General features: G+C 41.8%; 1 protein-coding gene across 5 annotated transcripts in view; it reads right to left on the minus strand.

The window, feature by feature from the left end:
* CYP2J2 (cytochrome P450 family 2 subfamily J member 2) overlaps nt 13710-26162 on the minus strand; it is a 75905-nt gene continuing 63452 nt past the window's right edge. For 3 of the 5 annotated variants that reach the window (XM_047447499.1, NM_000775.4, XM_047447498.1), the window contains 3 exons: nt 25273-25460; nt 21367-21505; nt 13710-14231 (listed from right to left, as the gene is read on the minus strand). In XM_047447499.1, coding sequence (XP_047303455.1) covers nt 14053-14231; nt 21367-21505; nt 25273-25460 — 506 coding nt within the window. In that variant the 3' untranslated portion in view covers nt 13710-14052. Of the gene's footprint in view, nt 14232-21366; nt 21506-24767; nt 24919-25272; nt 25461-26162 lie in introns of all 5 variants that reach the window. The other 2 variants (NR_134982.2, NR_134981.2) reach the window with 2 other exon arrangements.

The following is a 26162-nucleotide window of genomic DNA, read 5'->3' on the forward strand; positions in this document are numbered from 1 at the left end:
AGCTAAAAAAAAAAAAAAAAAAAAAAAAAAAGAAAGAAAGAAAGAAAGAATCTCATGTTTCAAGAAAGTTGTCTAATTTGTGTTGGGCCGCATTCAAAGCCATCCTGGGCCGCTTGTGGACAAACTTACTCTACGTGATCCAACGCCAGAGGGCACCATTCACCTAGACTACAAGTGAATGGCAGCCTGGGGTTTTACAACATAGCAGCCATACTGAAGAATCTGTAATTTATCCTGTAGTCAGCAGGGAGAATATCTTGTTTTGTGGACACAGTGAGGAAAAGATCAAATTGCCTGGGGAAAAAAAAGGTCTAGAAATAAGTTCTCCAAATTGTATAATAGCATAACTGGATGCTTCTCTGAAATAACCATACAGCATTACTACTGTAATTGATGATTATCATGTCACTTTGATCTCATGTTTTCACAAGAAATACAATGCAGGTGTATCTGACAGCATAGGGTAAGTTATGCTGTAGTAATTTTGAAATTTTAGTTTAGTTTATAACAAAATAGGTTTATTTCTGACATCATACGTTCATCTTGAATAAGCTGTGACTCTGCTTCCTGTCTTTGTCACACTGGACAGACTCTTATCTAGAACACTGGTGGTCTCATGGCAGAGAGGAAACATGTTGCAATACTAGCCAGCTTTCAAGCACTTAGAAGTGGCTCGTGGAACTTTTGCTCTCATTTTATTGATCAAAGCCAATCACACGGCCATTCCTGAATTCATGAAGGTGGTTATACATAATCATCCCACAGGAAGGAGCACCACAAGGAGAGGCACCTCAGAGGGGGACAGTGGACTTTTGACCAGTTATATATTCCACCTCAGCAGGTGTTATTCTATTTTTCAGATTAGGAAATGATTTCAGGAAAGTAAAGTAACCTGTTTAATTCACAAGCAAAAGGTAATAAATGGTAAAAACCAGGAATGGAATTCAGGCCAGCTTAGCTACAAAGATCCGACCTCTAGTTCATCTGACTCCCAGTGCTACCCCGCTGAGTCTTTTAATGTTGTTTTGTGTGCATCAGAGCCCTGTGATGTCTTTGGACTTCAGATTATTTTGGCAAAGAGAAGCCTCTGTTCTGACCCTAATTGTTATAACCAACACCATCAATGACAGAGCCAGTCTCTGAAAGTGACCCTTTGCATTTGACCCTTTCTTCTTGCTTAGCTTAATTCCTTGTCTGTTTCAAAAGAAGAAAAGGTTCTTAGCTTTCCAGAGCAGAACAAATAGCTCATGGTGAATACACAAAAACTGTGTGACCCAGAAAGTACAAAATCTTCATCCAGGGCATCAGCCTGTTGTTGAGAAACAAGCGTGGGGAAATGGGCTAGGTGGCACCACTCCAGAAAGCCAGCTGGGACTGAAAGAGTGAGGTAAGACAGGAGCCTGTGCTCCTCCACTGCATTTCTGAAGGATTGTAATAGAAGTTAGCATGAGGGCTGTGAAATAGGTCATGGGGTGAGATGACAAGGACAGAGGGGTAGTGGCGGAGATCTGACTTCTGGTGATAGGTCCCACCTAACACCAACCCACAATGAATCCACTGATTTTGTTCATTAATTCACTATTAAACACTACCATGTTGCAGGCACTGTTCTTAATACTGTGGACTCAGAATTGAACAAGACAGATACTGCTCTTGCCCTCAGGGAGTGTAGTGTATTAGTTAACTATTGCTGTGTGAAAATGCACCTCAAACCTGAGTGGCTTAAAACAGTAACCATTTATTTAACTCACAAATCTCAGGTTGGAAATTTAGGCTGGCTCAGGCAGTTCTTGTCTGGGCTCACTCATGCAAGTGCATTCAACTTCCAAATTTGCTTGGATCCAACTCATCTCAAGTCCTTATGCACAGCTCTGGAGGCTGGCCAGCTATCAGCTAGGGCAATGTGATGGCAATGATGAAGCCACATGTTTCTTATCCTGCAGCAGAGTAAGGTGGACTTGTTTAAATGGTGGCAGGAGGGTCCCAGAAGAGCACGCAGAAGCACACACAGTCTCTTCAGCCCTGGGGTCAGCCAGGAAAGTCATTTCACCACCAGGCCAGCCCCAAGTAAAGGAGACTGTGAGTAGATGCTAGCTCGTGAGGAGAGAAGTTGTAAAGTCACATTTCAAGGGTTGTAGACACAATGAAGGGAGTTATTGTAGCCTCTTTTTACAGATATATATAACTCTCAGCCAGACTTAAGTTCCATGAAAAACACAACAGAGTGGAGAGACTTCTGTTTCATGCTGTGACAGTTAACTGGACTGGACTAGCCCTTCTACCACAAGAAAGACCAGAGAAGTGGACAAGGTAAATAAACTTTTCCAGATATTGGAAAGCTGAAAATGCAGAACTGTTTCCCAACAGAGAGGACCAAATGAAGTGAGCTCTACAATATCTGGCTTTCTCCCTGGAGCGATTTACTAGACTCCATTTCAAGAATCAGGGAAACAATCAGAACACAGTAATCTTGGTAAGATGAGAAAATAAATTGGACCTTAGGGTGACTGACATGGCTAGAATTTGTAGAATAGAGAAAGGTGGAAGCAACAGCAAGAAAGAGCTCCAGAAATCTTGAAAGAGATCAGCTGAATACCAACCTCTGCGGGTGTAGAGCGAGACTCCATGAGGTTGGGCAAAGGACATCTACTAGAGAGAAAACACCTACCAGAGAGCTATAAGCTTAATGATTGCCATAGCTTTTTAAAAATTATTTTTTATTATGTTACTTTAAGGTCTGGGATACATGTGCAGAACATGCAGGTTTGTTACATAGGTGTACATGTGCCATGGTGGTTTGCTGCACCTATCAACCAGTCATCTAGGTTTTAAGCCCTGCATGCATTAGGTATTTGTCCTAATCCTCTCCCTCCCCTTGCCCTGCAACCCCCGACAGGCCTCAGTGTGTGATGTTCCTCTCTCTGTGTCCATGTGTTCTCATTGTTCAACTCCCACTTATGAGTGAGAACATGCAGTGTTTGGTTTTCTGTTCCTGTGTTAGTTTGCTGAAAATGATGGTTTCCAGCTTCATCCGTGTCCCTGCAAAGGACATGAACTCATTCTATTTTATGGCTGTATAGTATTCCATGGTGTACATGTGCCACATTTTCTTTATCCAGTCTGTCATTGATGGGCATTTGGGTTGGTTCCAAGTCTTTGCTATTGTAAATAGTGCTGCAGTAAACACACATGTGCATGTGTCTTTATAGTAGAATGATTTATAATCCTTTGGGTATTTACCTAGGAATGGGATTGCTGGGTCAAGTGGTATTTCTGGCTCTAGATCCTTGAGGAATCACCACACTGTCTTCCACAATGGTACTAATTTACACTCCCATGAACAGTGTAAAAGCGTTCCTATTTCTCCACATCCTCACCAGCATCTGTTGTTTCCTGACTTTTTAATGATCATCATTCTAACTGGTGTGAGATAGTATCTCATTGTGGTTTTGATTTGCATTCCTCTAATGATCAGAGATGATGAGCGTTTTTTCATATGTTTGTTGGCCGCATAAATGTCTTCTTTTGAGAAGTGTCTGTTCATATTCTTCACCCATTTTTGATGGGGTTGTTTTTTTATTTTACACGTTGTACAAAAATTAACTCAAGATGAGTTAAAGACTTAAATGTAAAACCTGAAACCATAAAAACCCTAGAAGAAAACCTAGGCAATACCATTCAGGACATAGGCATGGGCAAAGACTTCATGACTAAAACACCAAAAGGAATTGCAACAAAAGCCAAAATTGACAAATAGGATCTAATTAAACTAAAGAGCTTCTGCACAGCAAAAGAAACTATCATCAGAATGAAAAGGCAACCTATAGAATGGGAGAAAATTTTTACAATCTATCCATCTGACAAAGCTCTAATATCCAGAATCTACAAGGAACTTAAACAAATTTATAAGATTACCATAGCTTTTACAGGGCTGGAATTAGCTATATTCATTGAGAGTGGATATAACTCATTGAATATCTCAGGCAGTCAGTAGAGACTGCGAAAAAATCACTCTTTAGGAGCCCTGGAATGGAGGCTACTTTAAATCTACTCTAACAAAGCTTTAAAATGAGCTTCAAAAGGATTAAGGTGTCCTACAAGTAAATTAACTGCCTATTAAAATAAAACTTAATACTCTGTAAAGGAAGACAATGAAAACACTCAACAATGAAAAACTTACATAATAATTACTAGACATAAAGAAGTGGAAATATGTGACCTGTAACAAGGAGAAAAACTCAGTTAAGAGACACAGACAAAAACAACAGACAGGGACTTTTAAATGAATAGTATAAGTATATTCAAAGATCTAAAGAAAAATAACAGAGAAATAGAAACTATTTTTAAAAAGATGCATTGATACTTCTAGAAAAATAAAATATATGAAATAAAAAAAATTAATGGGTGGGCTTAATGACAAACTCAACACTGCAGAGGAAACTAAGAGTGAACTCAGTTGAACTTCTTAAAGACAGAAACTTGAACAGAAACTATCCAAACTAAAGCATAGAGAGAAGAAACGCTGAAAAATATTAACAGAACCTCAGTGGCCAGTAATTCAACATCAAGGGGGCCGCATATGTATGACTGAAATCCCAGAAATATGGGAGCAGGGAGTGGGTTAAGAAAAAGAAGTATTTAAGGAAATAATGGCCACAATTTATCCAAATTTTCTAAAAACAATAAACTCATAAATACAAGAAGCTTAATAAAGATAAACACCAAGTAAACGATACCAAGATACATTATTACCAAATTGCTGACAAGTAATGATAAAGAAAAGAATCTTAAAAACAGCTGTAAGACAAAAGACTCCTAATAAATAGTGGAACAAGGATGTGAGTGATTGTGGCCCTTTCATCAGAAGCAACATAAGCCAGGAAACAATGAAATGACATCTTCAAAGTTCTATAAGAAAAAAACCCTGTTAATTTATAGTTCTATATATGGTGAAATTTTTATTCAAAAATGAAGGCAAATTAAGACATTCTGTGATGGAAGAAAAAGAGAGGAGAAGGGAGAAAACCTGGGGAGAATTCAAGGCACAATATATGGTGGTGGTTTTCAAGAATAAGTGAGATGGAGAGGAGTCAGCCTGGGGGACTTCGTCAACATATATCCTTCCCCCAAAGATGGTTATGCAGTGATGGCAGTGGTGAAAAATGATGTTGTGAAGCCATGTGTATTTCAGAAATGTTTCCTTTGGTTTTCATAACCCAGTGGGGACCACTAATGTCAGTTGATTTTTACGTTTATAATCCCCCATTTCTCACTTTCATCAGCACTGGAATGAGCTCTGAGAAGGGATGGTTCTGTATCTCCCTTCGTTAACCACTATCTGATTCGTAGTATGTGCTCAGTAAGTGTTTGTTGAATTGACTTAAAAAGACTATTAATGCGAGGCTTGGTACCAAAAGCACAGCTCCATTTTCTCTTTCCAAGTAGAAGAAGAAATTCATAAGGTTTGGTTTTTCCACAGTTAGGGAGATACCACCAGCATATGGGGGTACTGAGGAAAGCAATGCAATTTTACCAAGTGAGAAAACATTATTAGCTATATTATAGGATACTCTCATACATTCAAAGCTAATCAGAATAAAAGGAAGGAGCATCTTCCACTGCAGATGTACTTGGAACTGTACTTTCAGATAGTTAATGGCAGAAACACCCATGTATATGTGTGATAGAGTAAAAATAAAAACGTGGCAAGGAATCCTTCATAGTGAGTGTCACAGCCCAGCAAAGCAGGATCCAGTGTTTGCCACATTTATAGCCCTGTCCTCTTCTTGCTGTTCACAGCACTGACCCTGAGCCACAGCAAGATCCTGAGGTGTCCTGTGAGTCGTGTATCCACTCCTTCATTCAACACAGAAAGAGAAATATCACTCATTAGGGTCTCACTGTGGGCTGGATATTATATTTGTAACAGGATATCCAAATGGGGTTCTTCATCTCTCAGTTTCACATGGAGTCCCAGTTACTGCAAATAGCACATGCCAAGTGCTATTAAACCCACAGCTGTAAAGTAGGGCACTTGAAATCCTATGTGAGACTTGCCACAGGGGCCTCAGATAACTGTTTTTGTCACCCTTACAGCCCATTGCCTACATTGAGGACTAATGGAAGAGGCAGAGAGGCTTCTGTGGTGAGGAGTGACAAAGACTCAGCTCCTCTAAACCCTCTAGGCATTGACCTTGGCATCGGTCCATGTTGGGCCTAATGGCCCAGTTGCAGCATGTCAGTTTAGAGGCGACCCCTGACCCCTCGATATCTGATCCAAATATTCATCCCCCACCCTTGGTACCTGATCACTCGGGTTTGCCTTCAGCAAGAATCCTGTCCAGTGGATTTAGCCAGAATCTGTCCTTACCCCACAAATTTCCTCTTAGGTTTTCCATCCCCAACCCAGCTTCTTGGCTATAAATACCCACTTGTCATCCATACTGTATTTGGAATTGAGCCCAGTTCTATACTGAAATCTCCTTTCCCCTATTGCAATAGTTCCTGACTAAAATTTGTTTTTACTGCTTTAAATGCAGTTCAGCTCTGGTTTTCATTGACAGGCAGATCCTCTTGACCTCCCACCCGTCTCCCACAAAGCAGGAGAGGTACATGGTTTCCCCTCACCAGCTGAGAGGCTTCAAGCCAAAAGGGAGTTACCTGTGCTCTATATTTCTCTGGGGAGGCAAGAATCAGTGGCACACAGACGCCTGAAAATTCCTCTAGGCAAGAGGTTGGGTGAGGCTCCAGTGGTAGCTAAGGAGTGGGGGCTCTGTTGGAGGAGACTGCAGTGCTTCTCACACGGAGACAAGGGTGTGGGACTCCATGTGGGCCCTGTGGCACAGCCAGCGTGGGGTTGTCTTGGATCGCAACAAGAGGAGTCCTGGAGGGATAACGTATCCTGAAGAGGAGCTGCACTGGCAGATGCCCCAGAGTGGGAGAGCAACGTTAAGCTAAGGAAAAACCACTGTCCACGTCAAAGGCGCTGCACATGAAGGGCCCTGGTAGGATGGGGTGGGTGGTGGGTGAGGTAGGAATGCCCATGAAGGAGGGAGCACTGGACCAGAGAGAAGGGCTGGGGAACCCCTGCCCACCCAGCCTGGAAAACTTCCAGTTCTAAAACTGAGTTGAAGGAAGCTAAATCAGTGAACATATGGAGTTATGTGTTGCGGGAAGTCAGGGACCCCGAATGGAGGGACCGGCTGAAGCCATGGCAGAAGAACATAAATTGTGAAGATTTCATGGACACTTTATTACTTCCCCAATCAATACCCTTGTGATTTCCTATGCCTGTCTTTACTTTAATCTCTTAATCCCATCATCTTCATAAGCTGAGGAGGATGTATGTCACCTCAGGACCTTGTGATGATTGCGTTAACTGCACAAATTGTTTGTAAAGCATGTGTGTTTGAACAATATGAAATCTGGGCACCTTGAAAAAAGAACAGGATAACAGCAATGTTCAGGAAACAAGAGAGATAACCTTAAATTCTGATCACCGGTGAGCCGGGCGGAACAGAGCCATATTTCTCTTCTTTCAAAAGCAAATGGGAGAAATATCACTGAATTCTTTTTCTCAGCAAGGAACATCCCTGAGAAAGAGAATACACCCCTGAGGGTAGGCCTTTAAAATGGCCGCTTCAGGGGGCAGCCATCTTTTATGGTTGGGCTGTAGGGATGAAATAAGCCCCAGTCTCCTGTAGCACTCCCAGGCTTATTAGGACAAGGAAATTCCTGCCTAATAAATTTTTGGTCAGACCAGTTCTCTGCTCTCAAACCCTGTCTCCTGATAAGATGTTATCAATGACAATGCGTGCCCGAAACTTCCTTAGCAATCTTAATTTCGCCCCAGTCCTGTGGTCCTGTGATCTCGCTCTGCCTCCATTTGCCTTGTGATATTCTATTACCTTGTGAAGCACGTGATCTCTGTGACCCACACCCTATTCGTACACTCCCTCCCCTTTTGAAATCACTAATAAAAACTTGCTGGTTTTGTGGCTTGTGGGGCATCACGGAACCTGCCGACATGTGATGTCTCCCCCGGACACCCAGCTTTAAAATTTCTCTCTTTTGTACTCTGTCCCTTTATTTCTCAGACTGGCAGACACTTAAGGAAAATAGAAAAGAACCTACGTGAAATATCGGGGGTGAATTTCGCCCAATATCTGGCTGAATTTCCCCCAATAGTTATATAAATTGTATATTTATTGGACTGCAAATTGTAAGGACCAAAATGACACATGAAGGAGTGTGAGGACATGGACGTTTGTCATATCAGAAATGTAATGAGACTTGCCTGAAATTTGATTCAGAGGCAAAACAGACATAGTTTACAGACTGTGGTGGCAGGGTGGGGTAGAAATAAAGCCACTTTTGTCTTGCACTCTAATGAGCCTTATTCCTCTTCATTCTGTTACACAGACAAAATTTCATGTTTTCATATTTACCCTTATTACCACGTAGTGAGGTACTGTTTTAGAGGAAGAAATTGGAGGCTTGAAGGTTTAAATATCTTGCTCAAAGTCACAGTAAGGGGCTGTGGAGTGACAAATCAGGATAACCCTGCACACTCATACCTAATACCCTATCTCTTTCCTTTTGATGGCTTAGAAAAAACTTGGCTCAGCAGGCTTGATTGAGCTCAAGGGATGTACAGCTTGACACTAGGGGTGTCCAAAGTTTCCCCATTCTAACAAAGCCGCTTCTTCACCCAGGAAGCTGTCCTTGCTACTTAGTCACCTAGTCAGCCCTGCCTCCTGTCTATAAATATGTAGGGCACTGTATTAGTCCATTTTCATGCTGCTGATAAAGACATTCCTAGGAATGTGCAATTTACAAAAAGAAAGAAGTTTAATGGACTCACAGTTCCAAGTGGCTGGGGAGGTCTCACAATCATGGCAGAAGGCGAAAGGCACATCTCACATGGCGGCAGACAAGAGAAGAGAGCTTGTGCAGGGAAACTCCCCTTTATGAAATAATCAGATCTTGTGAGAACTCACTATCAAAAGAATAGCACAGGAAAGACCCACCCCCATAATTCAATTGTCTCACACTCGGCCGCTCCCACAACACGTAGAAATTGTGGGAGCTACTATTCAAGATGAGATTTGGGTGGGGACACAGCCAAACCATATCATTCTGCCCCAGCCCCTCCAAAATCTCACATCCTCACATTTCAAAACCAATCATGCCTTCCCAACAGTCCTTCAAAGTCTTAACTCATTTCAGCATTAACTCAAAAGTCCACAGTCCAAAGTCTCATTTAAGACAAGGCAAGTCCCTTCTGCCTATGAGCCTGTAAAATGAAAAGCAAGTTAGTTACTTCCTAGGTACAATGCAGGTACAGGCACGGAGTAAATACCGATGTTCCAAATGGGAGAAATTGGCCAAAACAAAGTGGCTATAAGCCCCACGCCAGTCCAAAGTCCAGCAGAGCAGTCAAATCTTAAAGCTACAAAATGATCTCCCTTGACTCCATGTCTTACATCCAGGTCATACTAATGCAAGAGGTGGGTTCCCATGGTCTTGGGCAGCTCCACCCCTGTGGCTTTGCAGGGAATAGCTTCCTTCTTGGCTGCTTTCACAGGTTGGCATTGAGTGCCTGCAGCTTTTCCAGGCACACGGTGCAAGCTGTCAGTGGATCTACCATTCTGGGGTCTGGAGGACAGTGGCCCTCTTCTCACAGATCCACTAGCCAGTGCCCCAGTGGAGATTCTCTGTGGGGGCTTCAACCCCACATTGCTCTTCCACACTGCCCTGGCAGAGGTTCTCCATGAGCACTCCACTTTTGCAGCAAACTTCTGCCTGGGCATCCAGGTATTTCCATACATCCTGTGAAATCTAGGCAGAGGTTCCCAAACCTCAGTTCTTGACTTCTGTGCACCCACAGGCTCAACTCCATGTGGAAGCTGTGAAGATTTGGGGCTTGCACCCTCTGAAGCCATGGCCTGAGCTGTACCTTGACCCCTTTCAGTCATGGCTGGAGCAGCTGGAATTCAGGGCACCAAGTCCCTAGGCTGCACATAGCAGAGGTACCCTGGGCCCAGCCCAGGAAACCATCTTTTCTTCCTATGCCTCCAGGCCTGTGATGGGAGGGACTGCTGTGAAGACCTCTGACAGTCCCTAGAGACATTTTCCCCATTGTCAGCTCCTTGTTACTTATGCAAATTTCTGCAGTCAATTGAATTTCTCCTCAGAAAATGGGATTTTCATTTCTGTCACATTGTCAGACTGGAAATTTTCCAAACTTTTATGCTCTGCTTCCCTTATAAAACTGAATGCCTGTAACAGCACTCAAGTTACATCTTGAATGCTTTGCTGCTTAGAAATTTCTTCCGCCAGATATCCTAAATCATCTCTCTCAAGTTCAAAGTTCCACGAATCTCTATGGCAGGGGCAAAATGCTGCCAGTCTCGTTGCTAAAACATAACAAGAGTCACCTTTTCTCCAGTTCCAAACAAGTTCCTCATCTCCATCTGAGACCACCTCAGCCTGGAATTCATTGTCCATATCATTATCAGCACTTTGGTCAAAGCCATTCAACAAGTCTCTAGAAGGTTTCAAACTGTCCCACATTTTCCTGTCTTCTGAGCCCTCCAAAATGTTTCCACATCTGCCTGTTACCTAGTTCGAAATTTACTTCCACATTTTTGGGTATTTTTTCAGCAGCACCCCACTCTACTGGTAGCAATTTACTGTATTAATCCATTTTCATACTGCTGACAAAGACATTCCTGAGAATGGGCAATTTACAAAAGAAGAGGTTTCATGGACTCACACAGTTCTAAGGGGCTGGGGAAGCCTCACAATTGTAGTGGAAGGTGAAAGGCACATCTCATATGGCAGCAGGCAAGAGAAGAGAACTTGTGCAGGGAAACTCCCCTTTATAAACCCATCAGATCACCTGAGACTTATTCACTATCATGAGAGTAGCATGAGAAAGACCTGCCCCCATGATTCAATTACCTCCCACCAGGTCCCTCCCACAACACATAGGATTTGTGGGAGCTAAAATTCAAGATGAGATTTGGATGGGGACACAGCCAAACCATATCAGGCACTGTGAGGTCAGTCTCCCTCCTGGACCTCTCCTGGGTGCATGCAGCCCCACTATGCCTGACCCAGGAACACTTCCCTAACAACTCAGGGAATCCTGTGTGTCCTGCTCTTCCTCTGCTTTAAGCCCTTCAACCTCCAACCTGGTTTTAAATTTACACTGCAGCATGCATGTGTCTGCATCTCTTTGTAGGAGAGTAGTGGAGAGAAGATTCACAGCCTGAGTGCCTCTTGGTAAATCCATGCTTCCTCCACAATACCACAGATCATGTTATGTTGCTTGCACACCATATGTCATCAGACCCCCTGATACAAGAGAAGGGGGTCAGGGGCCCTGGAGCTTCCAAAATAGATGGGGGAAAAAGAGAATTACAAATGTGCATATAGAACAAAATCTTTGTGTGGGACAGGAAGTGCTTGGACAAAATGGGGGCTCATATTTTAGAGCCTCTCCATGGGCTTTGAGAAAAAAGATATTTTATATGGCCAGAAAATTCAGTTACTCACAGTCATCTATTCCCCAAGGTTTCTGGTTAATTGTGCTCACATCCTATTTGGCCCTGGGTTCCATTGCATTTATCAGGTCAGGATGAGTTCCCAGTGGTTTTACACTTATTCCCCCAAGTAACAGGTATGTACTGCCCATCTAGAATCACAGAAAATGCACAGCAGAGTAGAAATGGAACTCAGAGATGACTTCAACAAAGTCCTTCATTTTACAAATGAGGAAACTGAGACACATGATGTATTTTGGCCAGTGTCCATTTGAGTCTCCTACTTGGGTGATCTGATTGGGGAAAAATGGAAGTCCTGGATGTTTGAGAAGTTCAAGTTCAGGGCCTGATTTGATTGGTTTTATTCTCAGAATACCACATGGCCTGTTTTCTAGAGATGCAAATTTCTGGTGGGTTACCAAAAAAAAAAAAAAAAATGGGCATAGGTGGGGCTCTCACTTCTATTCTTTCTTTTACTAGGGAAGAAACAAAACCTCCTCCCACACATTAAAAACCCAACCATGCCTTCCAGACATACTCTTTTCTTGGCTCCCCAGCTAGATTAGCAGCAGTCAAACATTCCTCCCATCCTTTTCTGTTTCCCTTTCTCACAGCGTCAATTGAATTGGCTTTTCTCTGAATCCCAAACAGCAGGAAGAAAGAGCCCCGTGATTTCATGGCCCATTTTGTTTTAAGCTATTTAAATTATTTAGGTCTAACTGCTTTCTATGGTTTGGGTGTTTGTCCTCTCCAAAACTTATTTTGAAACTTGGTCCCCAATGTTGCAGTGTTGGAACATGGGGCCTAATGAAAGGTGATTGGGTTGTGAGGGCATGGCCCTCGTGAATGGATGGATGGCATTGTTATGGCAGTGGGTTCATTGTTGTGACAGTGGGCTGATATAAAGTGAGCCTGGCACCTCCTGCTTTCTGTCTTTTGCATGCACCTGCTTGTCCTTCTGCTTTTCTGCCATGTGATGACACAGTATGGAAGCCCTCACCAGAAGCTGCCACCATGCCCTTGGACATCCCAGCCTACAGAAATGTGAGACAAATAAACTCCTTTTCTTTATAAATACCCAGTCTCAGGTATTCTATTACAGCAACAGAAAACAGACTAAGACACCACCTTAGGAAAAAGGATCTTTTTATAAGGCTTAGCCCAGGTTCCCTGGGAGTTCATTTGTTTGCATTGGTATTGGGGTCAAAACTTCGTGTACTATCAGTGTTACCTGGCCTTCTATTTCATAATCCTTATCTTCCTTCAGCAGCCACACCTAGAGTGAGTGAGCAGGATTTTGGCATTTCTGTTTTCCTGCTATAAAATACCAAGGTCGGCCAGGCACAGTGGCTCATGCCTGTAATCCCAGCACTTATGGAGGCCGAGGTGGGTGGATCACCTGAGTCTGGAGTTCTAGACCAGCCTGGCCAAAATGGTGAAACCCCATCTCTACTAAAAATACAAAAATTAGCGAGGTATGGTGGCATGTGCCTATAATCCCAGCTACTAGGGAAGCTGAGGCAGGTGAATCACTGGAACCCAGGAAGTGGATCACACCACTGCACTCCAGCCTGGGCAACGGAGCAAGACACTACCTCAAAAAAAAAAAACAAAAAAACAAAAAAAAAAAACAAAAAACAGGGCCCAGGGAGTTTAGGCTGGTAATAGCCACAAAAAGCTTACAGTCTAGTTGCAAGAAAAGATCACACCCACCATCGTTAAAGCCAGTGTGAAACAACATGGGAATAAGTGTCTGATGGAGGATTAAAGGCAAGAAGGTATTGTTAAGGATGAAAAATATTTCCACATTTGTTCCTGAAACCTGTTTCCCAGGTTGGTTAATTGTGGTCACATTCCACTTGGCCTTAGGTGTGTGCTTATGTAAACTACAGAAACTGTTTCAATGACACCTGCTTTCCCTGTCTCTAAATGAGGAATAAAACCTGCCCTGCTGACTTCTCAGAGGATCAGTCTGAGACAGAAACAAGATAACGCATGCACAGTGCTACCAAACTGGGGAGTCTTCATAGCTCACTTCTGTGGCTGCTCCTAGGGCCCACTTTTAACTCTTATCAACTATTTTGCACCACTTTGACTTGAGCTTCTCAACAGGTCAGAAGCAAACACATATCTCACAAAGGAAGCAGGAAGGAGGCACACTATAGATAGAACTTTTATGATGTGTTTTATGGTTTACAAACCACTTAAAGCTCACCATTTCTTTTGATTCTTACAAGAACTTTCTTTATGGAAGGAAACATTATCCTCTTTTCATCTCCTAGATAAAAAGGTAAATTATTTAGCATATAAATGATTTTCCCAAGGCTAATTCGGACGAGACAGTAGAGCTGGGATTTGGATCTAGTTTTCTCTGAGTCAAATTCCTCTGATCTTTCTTGAAAGTCACTTTCATTTTGTCCCAACACATCTGAGCAGACACCAGTGGTTTCAGAACACGTGCCATGTCTTCTTACTTTCCTTGCCCCTTTCTTTCTTAACAATATTACACCTGAGGAACAGCGCAGAGGCGGTGACTGACTGGGGAAATGGTGATACCCATTCTAAACTTCAGGCTCAGCTTCTCATTGTTTGGGGGCCTGAAGGTAAATTTTTGCATAAGGGAAGTGAAGAAAATAAACAGCTCAGTCCTGGCCAACTGTTCTCCGAGGCATGCCCGCTTTCCTGTAAGACAAAATCAAAAGACGGGTTATCTTCTCAGGTGGCATTTGTGCCTAGCAGAGATTGCTATCCTCAATCATATCCCCAAAAAAATGGAGCAGAGGAAGGGCCTGTAGGCCCCAGGGTGTTATGGCCAGCAGCTTATTTAAGTCTGATAACCACTTGGGTTCATCAATGCATAGAAAGCAGAAGTCCAGGAACACGAAGTCAAATGCCATCAGGGGTCCGGCAGGCGAGCTTCCAGAATGAAGTTGCAGGGTGTAGGACCATAGAAGCGGAAGGCGTGGGCTGAGCTAGAAAGGGGATGTTTAGCCTAAGAGCTTTAAAAAAATCATTTAACAAACGTGACAAAAAAAGACAACAAAAACAACCAAATATGTTCACTTTTTTAATCCTTAAAAAAATTGTTGAAAATATAAGGAAATAAATGTCAGAGCAGAGTTCCTAAGGTATAAGTCATCTTTTCCCTGTGCCACTTTTCCTCCTTAATCATGGGGGACCTACTGGCATGGGTGGCCCTCTGTATTGCGACTGCTTTGGCCTTCCTCCTTCAGTGGTTCTTCTTATGCACAGTGGCCCTTTCCCTTTGCAGGCATTTCTTCTGAAGTGTGGCCCAAGGCTGGGTCCTGGTCTCCACAGCTGACACCTAGCATTGCCCTGACCTTGTCCCACTCCCTGTTATGTGTGGGTGAACTGAAGGCAGAAGGGCAGAGATTCAATTCAGCTTCTCCCACCTCCTAACCACGTGATTGGGGCAAATTAAACAACCTCTCTAGGAATCAGTGAAAATGTACATTGTGCATATTAGTGAAAACGAATATGTGTTTAAGATGAGAACTTTATATATTGTGTGAGCTACATGCTGAATCCAAATAAGCTAAATAATTTAATAATTTATACCTCAAAACAAAGTATTTTAAAATGTCACCTAGGTAATAATAAACATAACTGTACAATTGCTTATTATTAACTTGATCTGGTTAATTCTCAAAAAACAGGAGAATACAATTTAAAAGATGACCTCTAAAGAAAATCTTTTGGGTGGTAGCATTACTCAAACAGCTTTCTGTATATTACAATTCTTTACTGTGATACTTTCCATAACAAGCCTTTTATTCTGAAATAATTTCAAATGTACAAAAAACTTGCAGAGATAGACAAAGAACTTGGCTCTTCTAAGTTGTTTGGAAGTAAATTGTCTACATTACCCATGAAATCTTCAGTATGTATTTTCTAAAAAGAAAGACATTCTCCAACATAGTCAAAATGCAACCATCCAAGCCAGGAAATTAACACTGATGCATGACCAACATCTTCCCGAGGTCCCATTCAGGGTTACCAGTTGTCCCAAAGTCCTTCATTAGAAAAGGGTCCAGTACAGCCAGTACATGATCATGGATTGCATTTAGCTGTCATGTCGCCTTAGTTCTTCAGTCTGGAATAAGTCCTCACTCTTTATACAACTTTCACGGCTTTGGCCTTTTTAAAGATTACAGACCAGTTGTTTTGTAAATGCCTCTCATGCTTCCTCATGATTGGATTCAGGCTGTGGAGTTTTCCATTTTGGGTAGGAATATCACCAAAGTGATACTGTATTCTTCTCATTTTATACTATCAAGTGCTATACAATTGTGATGTGTTACATTATTGGTAATCACTTGATTAAGGTGGTGTCTACCAAGTTCTCTTGTAAAATTATTCTTTTTCTCTGTAACTAATAAGTACTTTGAGACTATGTCAACAAACCATTCTCATTAAGCTGTGATCCATTCTTTTCCATTGCTATTTCTTGACCATATATATTTTTTTGATTTATTTTTATTTTTATTTATTATTATTATACTTTAAGTTTTAGGGTACATGTGCACAATGTGCAGGTTAGTTACATATGTATACATGTGCCATGCTGGTGCGCTGCACCCACTAACTCGTCATCTAGCATTAGGTATATCTCTTGACCATATTATTAATTGCTGATGGCTACCAAATCGCGATTTTTAAAATTCTGTCATTTCTTCCACATTTATTAGTTAACACTTTACTAAGGGAAATGCTTGCTCCCCTCCCCATTTATTTATTCACTCATTTATTGATATCAGTTAAATGCATGGGATTCCTGTTTTTATTCAAAGGGTTATAATCTGTTACTATCATTACTTGTTCTGATGCTCAAAATATTCCAGATTTGACCATTAGATGCCCAATCAAGCTGATATTTCCTGACTTTGGGCACAACAATCTATTCCAGGTTTATAATACTTTCCCTTCCCCAGCCCTGGAATCAGCCATTTTTTTCCAAAAGTCCTGGTTTCTTTTAGTGGATAATAATATGTAGAAATCAAGATCTGGGCATTAGGCATGCTCATTGCTCTCCAGATGTTGTTGCCCCTAGCTTATATCAGTGGGCAGAGCTAAGAAATATATGTATGTATATAATGTGGGTATATGTCCAAAAGTGTGTGTGTGTACATATATAAAATATATATATATATACACACCAAGTATATATATATATATACACCAAATATATATACCCATATTTACATCTACATTTCTACATTTATTGATTCACCTATTGAAAATCTGAGTTCATTGTAGATTACATCAGATTCCAATCCAACATCACAAAGTTCGATTTTCTCCCTTTCTTTATTTGCAACTTCCTCTCATTATCCTCAATATATTTACTTATTGGATCAGTATCCCTTGTATATAACTTACCTCTCATCACTGCCACAGCCACCCTGTGCAGACTCCACCTCATACCATTTGTGCTCTGAGGCCAGCACTCAGCTTCCACCACCCCCTCCCCTATGTGAATGTCCTCCTCACCCCACCTGGGCTACATTACCCCACACAAGTCACTACCACCATCTCTATTGTGTGTATTTTTAGTAGCTTACTTTCTCCCTAAGTAGTACCTATTCACAGCAATAATTTTAAAAAGCATGAAAAAGAAAGTTATAAAGACAAAACCATAAAATGTTTGTAATCCCATAATCTAGACAAAACCATTGTCAACATTTTAACATATTTCCTCATTGTCCTTGTGGAGATTATCTGTACATCATAACAGATATTATTCCCTATAGTCAATTCTATTTGCTGCTTTTACTGCTTTATATTTTCCCATGTAATTTAATATTCGTGGAAATGTATGCATGCCTAAGTTTTGTCCTTTGTCTGTAACAGGTTGTTAAGGAAATAAAGTTAGATCATATATGCAAAAATGCTTAGTAAAGGCAAACATGCTTCATGGTTATGTCGTTATATTATTTGTGCCTGTTTTCCCAACAGTGTGTGTCTAATTCATCTCGGTTCCCCTCACCTTTATCTCTTTATCCATCACAAATAGTACAATTAGCAACATGCTAAAATGATACCAAGTCAGTTTATTGTAAATACCCAAGATTATCCTAAAAGAATCCATATATCATGACAAACTGGACCTAGCAAGTCAGGAACCAGGGTTAAAGAACTGGCTTCATCAGTAACCAACTGTGTGACTATTAATAAACCATTCATTCTCGCAAAACTAAACTTATCTCATTTGTCACATACATGAAATAACTTCTCTCCTAACCATGTTACACGGCTAGGCAAGGATCCCAATGCAATGGCAGATATGAATTTGCTTTTAAAAGCATGGAAACTAGGACTGTTAGGTGTCAAAGCTTTGGCCTGGAAGAAAGGATACTTGGCTCCCCTCCCTGGTGCTTCCACAAACTGACTATCACTAACCAACCAGGCCAGTTACCTCAGTAGTAAAATGAGAGAACTGACTTACAATTTTGGCAAAGTTCTTTCCAGCCCTATCTCCTAGAATCTAATGATTTTAACTGGAAAGAGAGGAACTGGGCTCATGTATTTCATAAAGCTGCTTGCTGCTTTGATGGATCAAACAGGAAGAATTTAAATGAGGAAAAGTAAATATAAATTTGCAATAAAAACTTTGAAACCTGTCTTGATTATGCACACTTTAGAAGCTGTTACATCTTCTAAAGTGAGGACTTCGGAAGAGTCCTCTAGAAGACTCTTTACCAAGAGTAAAGGAACAGCAAGGAAAAGCAACTGCATGCCAAAAGATGGGCATGTGATGAAAAAAACAGACAGTTGTGTTGATGTTTTGTCAACCCTTTGGATTCTTCAGATTTCTATCTCCTGATCCATTTAAATGGTCCTCATCCTATCACATCTGCTTTGGGACATCCCAGATAAATTTTTTGCCTTCTATGAATTTCATTCTTCTCAGTCAGAAAGAGAGATGGTAAGAACAAAGCAGCCTCAATTTTCCCCTCTCCTTGGATCCACATCATTTGCAATGCGATGTCATAGCTCTTCCCATCAAAAATTGTAGTAATATCCCCTCCCCTTAAACTGGGGCTGGCCTTATGATTGGTGTTGGAAAACATAATGCAATGGAAGTGATGGTGTGTCAGTTCCCAGTCTGGACCTTAAGAGGCCTGTGTGCTTCCATTCTCCCTCTTTTGACCTTATCACCACCATGTGACTAAGCCAGGACAGCTTGCTGGAGGATGAGGGATAATGTGAGAAGGGCCCCACTGTCCCAGGTGAAGATATCCTATATCAGCCATCAGCCTGTTGACCACTGGCCAAGATCAGAGATATCCAGGGGGCCGAGCCAAGATGGGCACAGCCACATATCTGACTTATAGACTTGTGAGCAATAATTCATGCTTACTGTTTTAAGCTGCAGAGTTTTGGACTGTTTGTTATGTAGCAATATGCTAACTGATGCATATGTTATGAAATTAGTGAATCTTAGGCCTTTAAATGGGGAAGTAAGCTACATTCTAGTCGTACTAGAGAGAACACTAGACTAGAAGTATAAAATCTTGAGTCTTAGGACCAGTTCTGCAAATTCCTTGAGCATATGATCTTGGATAAGAAAGAACTCTCTCTTATTTTTAGTTATCTTAAATTAAAAGGAGATACCTATCCATTTCCTGCCTAACTATTAATAACTGGGCTGTTGTAATGATTAAATTAGACAATTTTCTTGCAAATGAAGTCTCTAAGAGGGTGCAATACACCTCTCAATAGCAAAGCAGCAGTGAGTCACCATGTATAGTTTTTAAAAAGACTACTGCTAATTCAGATAAGATAATTTTTTTAAAACAGGAGACATGAAGGAACTATGAGAAAGAGGCTTCTGTGATGTGAAGAAAAGGTATCCAGGCATCACTTAGCCCAGAGGATCCCTTTTCCTTTTAAAACCACGGACTTCTAATAAGATTCCTCTCATCACGGTTGCAGCTGGCATTAGGTGAAGCATTTTTTGTGGAATGCAGAGGTCACATTTCTAGCATTTCCACATGGATGTTGTGCAAGAGCCAAAGAACAGGAATAATTAATTATAATAACTGGAACATAACAGCCGAAACTTTGTGCTATAATACAAAATTTCAAACTCTTGTAGACAGGAAGACTGGAAGATAGTCCTATGTCTTATATCAGCTTTCATATTCTAAGTGAATTGTCCAGTGTGAGCGGAGGTGACAGAATTAGATGAAGAAAGACAAAGACAGCATCGATCATCAGAATCAGCCCAGAGACACCTAAGGCAACACAGCACAGGGGGAGAGCATGGGCTTTGGAGTCACACCAACATGGGTCATTCCGTTTCTGCCCTTTCTGAGCCTCAGTGTCATTCTCAGCAAAATGATCTTGTCTCGGAACATCAATACATATTTTAAATTAACAATAAGCAAACTATCGTGCATTCCACAGTGTGGGTCTGTGTAGTATTTAGTTATTTTCAGTAGATAGTGTTAGCAAGAACACCCACTTTAGTTTTTGATTAATCTGGTTGACATTGATCCTACCTCTGCCAGATGAGTTTTATGACTTTAGTTTCTATACTTGGTTAAGCCTCAGTTTCCTCATCACTAAAGTGGTTATAGTAATATAAACTTTATATGATTACACTAGAACATATGCACCATGGGAGCAGTTTTGTTTTGTTTTGGTTTCTGTTTCACTCATTCATTGTCATATCACCAGGGCTGAATGCTTGACACATAATAGATGCTCAATAAATATTGATGGAATTAAAGAATTGTGAAATTATTTGAAATAATCTATGCAACATATCTAACTCAAAACCTGGAACATATTAAGAAGTTTTGTTATTGATTGTTCAATGTCGTGAGTTAAAAATATATTTTTGGACCTGGCTATCTTAAAAACAAGAGAAAAAAAGAGAGTTTTCACTGCCTCTTCTTTCTTAATTTTCAAGTTACATATTATATAAATGTATTAATTAGATTTTAAAAAATGAATTAAAATTTACAAAGGCCAAAGAACCTTTTCAAGGGAGTACTTAGAGAGTAGAATCCAATCAAGTTAAGCCACTGACTGATGCCCATGTGGCAAATAAGTTTCTCCTTCCCCTTGTCCCTCTCTATCTCATTATAAATCAGCTCTATTTCTGTGTGAGTGGGCAGCCCTTAAAAAGAACTGAGGACATTTTAACATTTAGTAAGGATGGCAGCACCCGACCGGGTGTGGTGGCTCACACCTGTATCCCAGCACTTTGGCTTTGGGAGGCCGAGGCGGGTGGATCACCTGAGGTCAGGAGTTCGAGACCAGCCTGGCCAACATGGTGAAACCTCGTCTCTACTAAACATACAAAAAATTAGCCTGGCATGGTGGTGCATGCCTGTAATCCCAGCTACTAGGGAGGCTGAGGCAGGAGAATCGCTTGAACCTGGGAGGTGGAGGTTGCAGTGAGCTGAGATCATGGCATTGCATTCCAGCCTTGTGCAATAAGAGTGAAACTTCGTATCAAAAAAAGAAAAAAAATGGAAGCACCTAATCCTCTTTGTGAGCTGGTGGTGGAGTCTGGATCTCTGTCACCAGTTTTCCAGAGGACAGAACACAGGAAAGCTGAAATCTCTAGCAGAGGCAATGAATGGAGGGCTTAGGAAGTAAGGGCAGGCTGAAGCAATGCCCAGCCTTGGAAATCCCAGGGCTGCCCCCTACAGCAAGATGGAGTGAGTCGCACTGGCCAGGCTGTCTGGAGACATTCCAATGAAAACAAGGGAAAACAGGAGAGAGCAGGGGAGGGCTGGGAGAGGGGCCCTGGACTCCCACACACCTGTTTACTACAACTTACCTATTGAGAAAGGCATAAAGGCTTCCCTTTTCTTAAACTGTCCATTCTCCAGAAAATGGTCCGGATTGAATGTGTCAGGGGTGGCCCACTCTGTGGGGTCCCTGTGCAGCGCCGTCAAATTGGTCAGGATCATGGTACCCTAGAGAAAGCAGCAGAGACTCAGGCAAGGCTTGACCCATGAAAAAGCACACCTATGCAGAGGGGTGGTCATCCTCCGGCTTCCTTGCCGGGGGCCTGAACATACTGCCCCACCCTCCCCAATTGTGGTACACAGTCTCCTGTGTCCCCCAACCCAGGACCCTTCTCTTTGTCTGGGACAGCTTTCAAATTAGATTGGATTTCCCTGCTGGGAATTTTAACAAGGATGTCTGGCTACTCTTGACTGCAGGATCGAGCTTCCTTACAGGGACAGGTCAGTTTCAGTAGGGCTTGGAAGGAGGGGGCATGAATGCACTGATGAGAGAATAATCCAACAGTCAGTCTGCACTGTACCAAAACCAGCCCAGCTGCTCAGTGAAGCTATAACGATGGCAGCTCTACAAAGGTAAAAGACATCTCATTCATCTTGGTTTCACCATTCTCTTTCCTCCAATGTCTAGTACATGGCACCCCACTCCCCATGGTAGGTTTAGTAATAGAATCAGGTAGACCCATGCAAGGAGCCCCTGTCCATCCAGGTACATGCTAAGAAACACAGGAGTTCCCAGAGGGAGCTTTTCCTTTACTCTGTCGTTATCCAACCCATCAGTGAGACTGGTCAATTTTACTTTCACCTCCATTCCATGTCCACCAATGCTCACTTAGTCCAGACTTCTTCCTGGCTTGCCTGGACCACTGTTATAGTTTCCTAACTGTGCCCCAAATCCTGTCACCCCTTTCAATCTGCTTCACACTCTGGAAGAGAGTGAGCTTCTAGCATGATTTAGTCATGTCATTCCCCACCTCCACAGCCCCCACTGCTCATACCTAGGACTTGACACACTTCAATAGTTACCCATTGCTCTCAGGGCAAAGACTCTTCACCTGGTCCTGGTCTGCACTACTCTCCCCCTCTGCCTGCACTCCCACTACAGGGCTCTTCTTTCAGTTTCTCAAACATGCCATTTTCCTACTTAATTCAGCATCCTTTTTAAATGCTATTTGCCTTGCCAGGAATGTTCCTCCTCCCCACTTTGTCATCAAGCTAACTCTTGAAGCTAATCCTCAGCTCAAACATCACTTCCTTTTGGAAGCCTTCCCTGACCACTCCTGCTAGTCTGTTTTTACAGACCACAGTGAGTTTTTTCCTTTGGGCAGTTATCACGTTTCTAAATATGTACTTGCATGATTACTTTTCTCAGGGTTGTTTTGCCAGACCTGAGCATTTCAGGTATGTAGTGTTTGTTGAATTCATTCAAATATTAACATATTAATATAATATTACTTCAAGGAATTAATATCAATGATTGCCAATATTAGTAATAACTTTTTTTTTTAATACAGACTCTCACTCTGTCACTGAGGCTGGAGTGCAGTGTGTCGGCTCACTGCAACCTCCATCTCCTGGGTTCAAGCAATTCTCCTGCCTCAGCCTCCCAAGTAGCTAGGATTACAGGTGCCCACCACCACGCCTGGCTAGTTTTTATATTTTTAGTAGAGACGGTTTTCACCATGTTGGCCAGGCTGATCTCGAACTCCTGACCTCAGGTGATCCACCCGCCTCAGCCTCCCAAAGTGCTGAGATTACGGGTGTGAGCCACCATGCCCGGCCAATAATTGCTATTTTAAGCACTTTCTGTACTAAGTACTGGGTTAAATGCCCTACATGCATGATCTCATTTTACCTCCATGTGGATCTTGTTAAGTAGGTTTAAATGCATTTTTCAGATGAAGAAATTGAAGCTTTGAGAGGTAAAATAATGGGCCCAGAGTCAGAGAGTGGGAGGAGGCAGAGCCATGATTTGAATTAGGTCTATTTGACGTCAAAGTCATAGCTCGTAGACTGTGTAACACACAATTATTTCAACTTGTCAGTTCCCAAGATGATTTTTAAAGCTGACAAAAATCAGCAGCAGCAGAAGTCAAGCTGGTTTCCTTGAGTTAAATAAATTGCTAGAAAAATGCAAACAGCACCTGGGGAATTTAGACCTCAGCCTTTATCCACTAAATGGTCAATCAGTAAGGAAATAGTAAATGTAACAGCTGCTTTTCCTGGCTCTGCAGGGATAGTAACCAAGTAGTGCCCAATGGGTAAGCTCTTCTGATTCTACTTCTCGAGATTTTCCCCAGGTATGACACACTCAGAGGTACTTAGACAGACTGGAATCGATCCACGGAGGCTGACCAAAGTGGTTAGAAAGCAAGGAAAGGAACTGAAAATGTGCAATGTGGGGAGAGGGCACTAGAGGGCACAGGATAGTTGTCTGCAGAGATCCTAAGAGTGGCGAATGGAGTGACATCAGAATTCTGTTTGTCGCAGAAACAGAAAATGAAATACTGCATGTTCTTACTTATAATGGGAGGTAAACATCGGATAGACATCGACATAAAGATAGGAACAATAGACACTGGGGATTACTGGAGGAGAGAGTGGGGCAAGGGTTGAAAAACTACTAATTGGATACTATGCCAGTCACCTGGGTAATGGTTCAATCATACTCCAAACTTCAGCATCGTGCAATATACCCTTGTAACGAGCCTACACATGTACTCCCTGAATCTAAAACAAAAGTTGAAAGAAAAAGAAAGAGTTCCACTTGTGAGTACAGGGAATTTAACTTAGACCAATTGAAAAAATAATAGGGAGATGCCTTTAAAATCAATGTAAAGCAAGTCCTGTGAAGGGAGCATGGTGTCTCACAAAGAAACAGAACAGATCTGCTTCCAGATCCCAACTCTTCATAGTTGAGAGATCTCATGCAAACCTAATTTTTCTGAGCCTTGACTTCGCAATCCATAACATGGAAATAACAAGCTTCTTCTGAGTAAACTTACTCTGAGAATTGAATAAGACATTTTGAAAGAGACCACATTGTCCACAACCCATAATCATTGCTTAATACATGTTCACTCCTTTCTTTCCCTTCCCAATAATGAATATTGCACACGCTTAGATTGGCTTCCTTATAAGATAATAAATTATACATCTGTCAGAAGCAGTGGCTCACACCTGTAATCCCAGCACTTTGGGAGGCCGAGGTGGGTGGATCACGAGGTCAAGAGATCCAGACCATCCTGGCCAACCAACATGGTGAAACCCCGTCTCTACTAAAAATACAAAAATTAGCTGGGCATAGTGGCGCATGCTTGTAGTCCCAGCTACTTGGAAGCAACAGAGCGAGACTCCATCTCAAATAAATAAATACATACATTAATTAATAAATTATACATCACGGGACTATAAGAAATAACTGGAAAAATACCTGTGGGGATATTATGTTAAAAACACCAGCATTAATATGATGTTGTCCCAGGTGGTCTTAAATGTCCTTTCACATTTTAGCATTCTAGAACCCCAGGTTCATGAAGCAGAATTTCCCAAAGTTTGGCAGATCCCTAGTCTGGTGAGATGTTCTACCAAAACAAAGAAAAGTGTTCTGTGATAAAGTCTGACCTAGAACTGCTGCCTGCCACGTGCCCACAGACTCACAATGCACATTAGCATAGTAAAAACACTGAGAGGCCCCACAGGAAAGAAAAGCCAGTCTTTATCTAAACATATTTAACGTAGGAATCCTTCCTGCTCCCCTCCCCACAATACCTATTTATCTAGTTGAAGACTACACATGGAGAAAATCTAGTATTATATCAGGTATAAGATATCTTTTTCTTCCATTTAAATGATTCCTTAGGACAAGAATAAATGTCACTTCTCAAGTTCAAGTTTCTACCCCCCTAAAAGATGGGCTTGAAGATCTGCTTAATTACCTTGGGCAGGTGGTACCCAGCCAAAGTGGTATCAACTGTCACTTCCCTGGGAACGTTCAGGGGGATGATGTTGCCCATTCTCTGCACCTCATGGATGACAGCATTGGTGTAGGGCATGGACTCCCGGGCGGCTGTGCTCGGCTGCTGCCCCTGGCCAATCACTCTGTCAATCTCAGCTTGTACTTTTTCTGGTAAAGAGGGAAGGGTTCTATTATTTTTTAAACTTTTATGCTTTATTATAAAGAGGTATGAGTGGTCTCCAAGATGTCATCTGTTGTATTTCAATTAGTGACCAGGTTGCAAGAAATAAAATGGTTCTTAACCTTTTGAAAGGCTTATTCAGAAAACTACCACCTCTGTAAATCTCCTTGAGCCTGGTTAGGCTATGGGATGGAATGACCAGGATTAATATGGCTAAACTTCATTACATCAGACCCCAGCGGACTTGGTGTCTGGTGAAGACCCACTTTCTGGTATACAAATGGCACTTTCTCAGTGTGTCCTTACATAGTAGAAGGAGTGAGGCAGCTCTCTGGAGTCTCTTTTATAACAGTACTACTCCCATTCCTGAAGGCTAATTACCTCCCAAAGGCCCCACCTCCTAATATCATCACACTGGTAATAAGGTTTCAACATATAAATTTGGGCTGGGGTGGGCCCAAGTATTCAACCCATAGCAGATCTACAGACTCTAATTTCTCAGGTAGATATGTAAGAGTGGAAAGTGGGCCCTGAGGTAAGACCCATCAGGTTGCAAACTCTTGCTCTACAACATTGATGCTGCAAGTTACTTACACTCTTTAAACCTCAGTTCCTTATTTGATTAGTGAGGATAAATCTACCTTCATCTTAAGGATGTTTTGACATTCACATGAACTGATGTTTTGAGA

The sequence above is a fragment of the Homo sapiens genome, chromosome 1 (genome assembly GCF_000001405.40).
Source record: "Homo sapiens chromosome 1, GRCh38.p14 Primary Assembly".
NCBI classification, from domain to species: domain Eukaryota; kingdom Metazoa; phylum Chordata; class Mammalia; order Primates; family Hominidae; genus Homo; species Homo sapiens.